Here is a 6,183-nt window from a genome sequence, read left to right as displayed (position 1 = left end):
TTTCTGACTTATTTCCCTTCCTCCCTCTCTTTTTTCCTTCTCTCCTTCCTTCCCTCCCCTCCTCTTTTTTCTTCCTTTTCTCCCTCCCTCCCTTCCTACCCACCTCCCTCCCTTTCGTCCTTTCTTCTTTCCTGCCTTCCCTCCCATTTTCCTCCCCTTCTTCCCCTTCTTCCCTCCTTTCCTTTCTTCCTTTCCTCTTTTCCTTCTTCCTTCCCCCTTTTTTTCCTTCCTCCCTCCTTTTCTCCCTCCCTCCCCTCCTTCCTTCCTTCCTTTCCCTCTTTGTCCCACATTTCTCCTTCCCCTCTTCCCTTTCCTCCTTCTTTCCCTCTCTCCTTCTTTCCTCTCTGTGGCCCTTGGCTTGCCTATGTGAATTCTGTGGCCCATGGACGCTGAGCTGGAGGAGGCCGAGTGCTTCTCTGTTGCGCTTGCCCCTCACCTAGCCTTCTGCAGGAGGCAGCCATGCTGGGGCCGCTAACACAGGTATGCGGGCTGCTGGGAGCCTGAGAGCACTGTCTGAGCTGTCTCACTGCATGTCCACCAATTGGGTGACCATGGGGCATTGGCCCAGAGCCACCCTGTCACGGGTGGGAAAGCTGAGGCCCAGCACAGGGAATGGCCTTGCCTGAGTGACATTGGGAATGGGTGGCAGGGCAGGAGCTAACTTTGTCCCCAGGCTGTCAGAGCTGACCCCTTGCCCTGACTCCGATGGTGAAACTGAGCCACTCTGCCAGCAGTGTGGCTCTAGGTCAGAGGTAGAGGCTTTGTGGGGATAGCCCCGGGCTCCTCAGCAGAAGACAGCGTGCAATCCCTGCGTGGTGGAGGGAGGTGCACACACCTGCAGACCCCTGCCCCATTCTATCCCCTGCTCTGGGGCCAGGGCCCCTCCCCTGAGTCCTGGAGCCTGATGAGGATAGAGAGGGGAGGCTTCCTCGAGGAGATGATTCACGCAGGCTTGATGTGAAGAGAGAGCAAAGCCCTGCAGAGAGGCTGGGGGCCCCAGATATAGAAATGTGGGGGAGATCAAAGGCTTTGAGTGGGGAGTGGGCCACACTGGATGGGAAACACCTTGCAGGCCAGGACCCAGGAGTCAGGGCAGCTCCAGGGGGCGCCTTTTCATGACCTCGTGTGGATGCGCGTGTCTGCGTGGCAGGGGGGATGTGGTGGGGTGAGAGCAACTTGGAAGGCCTGCGTGGATCAGACTGTCCAAGGGGCTGTGTTGTGTGGGGAGTCCTGAGTGTGTGTGAGAGTGAGTGTGTGTGGATGGGGGCTGCTGGCAGTGTGTGGGAGAGAGTGCATGTTAGGGGTGAGTGTGTCGCAGGAGTCTGTTGCATCCTCCTTTCATTCTCTCAGCATTTACTGAGCACCGACTGTGTGTCAGGCTCTGTTCTAGGTGCTGGGAACACTGCAGTGGAGAAGGCAGTGGAAACCTCTGCCCTTTGTGTAGAACTCACACAAACCAGACAAATCCTGACAGTGGAGTATCGAATGGTGCTAAAGGCAGAGAAGGACTGAAAGCAGGGAGGGCTGTGGTGTGTGTGTGCATGTGTGTGTGTAAGCCGGGAGGTGGGTGACATGTTAAATAATGAGGTCAAGGATTATCTGGGCAGGAAATAGTTGAGCAAAGATTTAAAGGAGAGAAGATAATATTTAGAATATATAAAGAACTTCTATAACTCAAAAACCACCCCCCAAACAACCCAACTAAAAAATAGGCAAAGGACTTGTATGTATACATTTCTCTAAAGAGGATGTGCAGGCTGGGCGTGGTGGCTCACGCCTGTAATCCCAGCACTTTGGGAGGCTGAGGCGGGTGGATCACATGAGGCCAGGAGTTCAAGACCAGCCTGGCCAACATGGTGAAACCCCACCTCTACAAAAATACAAGAATTAGCCCAGCATGATGGCCGGTGCCTGTAATCCAAGCTACTCGGAAGGCTGAGGCCAAAGAATCATTTGAACCCGGGAGGCGGAGGTTGCAGTGAGCTGAGATTGCGCCACTGCACTCCAGCCTGGGCAACAGAGCGAGACTCCATCTCAAAAAAACAAAACAAAACAAAACAAAACAAAACACCAAAGGATATACAGATAACCAATAAGCACATGCAAAGATGCTGAACATCACTAATCATTACAGAAATGCACATTAAAACCATAATGAGATACCACCTCACACCCATTAGAATGGTTTTTATAAAAAAACAGCAGAAAATAACAAGTGTTGTTGAAGATGTGGAGAAATTAGAACCCTTGTGCACTGTTGAAATTTGAAAGTAAAATGGTGCAGCCACTGTGGAAAACGCTATAGCATTTTCCCACAAAATAGAATGACCAGATGACCAGCAATTGTACTTCTGGGCATGTACCTAAAATACTTGAAAGCAGGGTTTGAACAGGTATTTGCACACCCACGTTCACAGCAGCACTATTCGCAGTAGCTAAAAGGTGGAAGCAACCCAAGTGTCCGTGGAGGGGTGAGTGGGTAAGCAAATGTGGTCTATCCACAAGGGAGTATTACTCAGCCTGACAAAGCAAGGCCATGCCGACACACGCAACAATGCGGGTGAACCTTGAGGATGTTACACTAAGTGAAATAAGCCAGTCACACACACACAAAATACTGTAGAGTCCACTTATCTAAGGGTCCTAGAGTAGTCAAATTCATACAGACAGAAAGTAAATGGTAGGGGCTGGGGGAGGGGAGATGGGGAGTTATTGCTAAAGGGAAAAGGGAGAGATGAAGTGTCTTAGGCTGGGCTCCCCCAGAAGTAATCCCTGAGACAAGGACCAGATCAAGGACTACCTGCAAGTAGTCTCCCTGGAAGGTGATTCCAGGGAGCGTGGGAGAGGGGTGGGGTGGGGGGCGTGGGAAGAAAGAAAATCCCCCCAAAGGGGTGCATGCAGAGCAGATGACACTATGAGCAAAGGGGTCTCAGCCCTGCTGGGAACCTCCGGGAGATGGTGGTATTGTCTCACTGAGGGATGAGGAAGGCAGACTATCTACAGACTCCCATCTGTCACTGGCTGGGCAGGGCCCCTAGGTTGGCTGGAACATTCCTATGCGGCACCTCAGCATCTGCTTCAGGAGGCTGTGTGGGCATCTGAGGGAAGACGTCCTGGCAGAGGGCACAGAGGCCTGGTGATGGGAGCAGAAAGTGCCATGGAGAGGGACAGGTCCTGAGTCAGAGAGGTCAGGGAGGGCTGCAGCATGCGCCCTGGGGAGATGTTTTCTCAGTGCCACCCTGGCCGCTGTGTGGAGAAGAGACTGTGGGGGCCACAGGGGCAGCAGGGAGGCCAGTGAGGAGGGTCCAGGAGAGAGGAGATGCACACTTGGCCCAGGGTACTGGTGGGGGTGATGGTCGTAAGTGGTCAGATTCCAGGGCTGTTTTGAAAACATCCTCAGCAACATCAAGGACAGATTTCAAGGCCTTCTGGTTCAGTCCACTCCAGCCTCAGATCTAATTCAGGGGAAGGAGTCGTAATCTGCTCTTTCACAGTTTACCGCCATTGTGCTGAGAGGTGCACAGTCTGTCGGCTGGTGGGGCAGATAAAGACGCCCTGTGCCCCGTTGCAGTGCACTTGGCCAATGAGGGCATCTTCATGTGTGTGTGTGATCTTGGCGGGCTCTGGCCAGCCTTCCTGGCCCATGAGTGACTGAGGACCCACACAGAGGGGAGCAGATCCCAATCAGGTTCCACCTCCAGCCACCTCCGGGGTAGGGCACCACCTGAAGTGGCTGACACTCTCCCGGGCAGTCCCCAGTTCCCGCCTGTCCGGTGCACCTTGCTCCTGAAAACCAAGCCCAGAAGTGCTGAGCTCCCCTTCAGAATTCTGCATGGGACTGAGTAGTTTCAGCATTTTCTTTCTGGGTATGCCTACCCTGGGCTGGTGTCCTGAGCACAGATTGCACCTGCTCTCAGTCGTCTCCAGCAAGGAGTGCCCTGCATCCAAGTTCACATGTGTCTTAGTCCTCAGGCATACACGTCCCGCTCTCTCAAGAATGCCTGCCCTTCTGGTTTCCAGGGTGGCCCACAGTACTCCCAGGCCTTCCCCAAACATACCCTTCTTCTTGCAGGCTTCCCTAGTCCCTGGGAGCTACTGTCCCACTTGGTTTGGCTTGGTGGTAGAAGGGAGCATCTTGCAATTCCCAGCCCCTATTCTTCTTGCGTAGCTGGGAGGGGACGGGTTGGGGGCCCCTTGGTGAGGGCAGGGATGGAGCTGTTGTCTGATGAGCCCTGGCAGGGGCAGCTTGGTTCCACTTGTTGCAGCTCAGCTCCACTTAGAATGTGCCTCTGGCCCAGCCATGGCCATGTTGCTACCCTGGGGCCATTTACCTCTCATATGTGGCTCTGCTGACCACATGTTCCTGGGTTTGGTTCACTGGCTGTGGGTGCAGACATCAGAATGGATGGGGTGGAGGCACCTAAAGGTGGGACTCAGCTGCAGAGGTGAGCTTTCTCCTTACTCAGCATCCTCCCATCCTGGCTGGGTGAAATGTGCGTGTGTATGTGTGCATAGGTCCACAGTTGTGCATGTATGCCTGTGGATCTGTGTCTGTAAGTGAATGTGGGCTTGTGTTTGTATGTGTGTTGTATATGTGTGTCTGTGTCTGTGAGTGTGTAGGTGCCCATTTGTCTGTGCATATGTACATGTGTGTTTGCCACTGTGTGTGCGTGAGTGTGTGTGCCTATGTCTGAGTGCATATGTGCTGGGGGGGCTCTGTTGAATCAGCACTGGCGCTGGGCAGGTGGCACTCCTAGGCAGGCTGTGGCCTCCCTACAGTGGCATAAACACTGGTCCCAGCTTCCCCCTCAAGCAGGGTGGTCCAGCCTATGGCCCTGTGGCTGGTAGAGAGGGGTGGGAGGGGGCAGGGGGTTTGCCCTTGGGCTACCTTGATACCCCTCATGCCTCAAGTGCCCTGTCATGTGCCCCATAAGGCTGGGGTCTGTTCTGGGGTCTCTCTATGCCTCACTTTCCTCCTCTGGCCTGGGGCCTGATCTCTGAGGTCTCCTCAAGGTGGCAGGAGGAGCCACCACTACATTCTCAGTCCATGCTGAATCAGAGGGTCAGTGGGGTAGTCCAGGGGCAGAGTTCAGCTTCAGCACCCCAGGCAGGGCCAGGCAGTCCCCTTGAAACTGCAAAACCTAACACAGAAGGTCCAGTGACATTGCAGGAACAAGGTTCTGATGGGCCCTTGACACTCACAGCTTTAGGGCAGAGTTTGGGGATCTAGAACTTGAGCACAAGGGACAGAGGATTATCGGAGCTGGGCCCGCGATGGTCCCAGAACAAAGCGTCCCTCCGCTGCTCGGATGTTCCTGCATGGATGCTCATGGCTCTTGTTAGCCTGCCGCACCCTGCATCTTCTCTTCCAGACATCATCCCCAGGGATCCTGGGGTTACCACTGGGACATGAATGAGATGGCATGGAGTAGCGGTGCCAGGAAGGCCAGAAATTCAGGCCGAGATAGAAAGAAGTCAGGTGGGATCTTGAAGAAGTCAGGCATTGGATGAAAATTTTGCCAGGCCACAAGAAGGAAGGAAATCAGTGCAGCTGTGGGAAAGTGGACTGTAGTGCTCAAAGCACTCAGTGGCAGAGAGTCTTATGGAAAGCTGATGGAGGCCTTAAGAGAGGTCGGGGGTGACGGAATGTATGGAACAGGGGAGGAGGGGCCAAAAAAAGTTGGCAGCAGTGTGACAGGAGCTCCTTGTGTTGCATAAGGGGGTGTTTGGGGTGTCCTCCGTGGTCGGTCCTGGGGCCATGGGTAGTAGTGAGAGTTGTGGGGTCAGGGAGAGGGCGGGCCTGCCTGGGAACAGGGGAAATGCTGATCCAGTCACCTCAGAGCACAGCAGGAAAGCCCGGATCTTGAACCTGGTGACCCACCACAGAAGTGGTTCCCTGGGGTTCTCCCAAGTTCCTTCCAACCAGCCCCAGTCCCTCCCTCACCCACTTTTGGGGGTTATTTGTTCCCTGCCCTCCCAAAGCCACACAATCCTGGTTTGCCCAAACGCTGACAGAGCACAACTGGAATGTGGCATGTGTGTGTGAGTGTGTGCACACGATACTCCCCCAGGCCGGATCACCCAGCGGGCCCCTCCAGTCTCAGCAGCCAGGGCCCGGGGCCTCTTGGACAGAGAAGGCCCTCGAAGGTCAGGTCTGGGCAGGGTTCCTGCCTGCACCCTCCT

This window comes from Homo sapiens, chromosome 3 (genome assembly GCF_000001405.40).
Source record: "Homo sapiens chromosome 3, GRCh38.p14 Primary Assembly".
NCBI classification, from domain to species: domain Eukaryota; kingdom Metazoa; phylum Chordata; class Mammalia; order Primates; family Hominidae; genus Homo; species Homo sapiens.
This window is presented reverse-complemented; position numbering follows the sequence as displayed.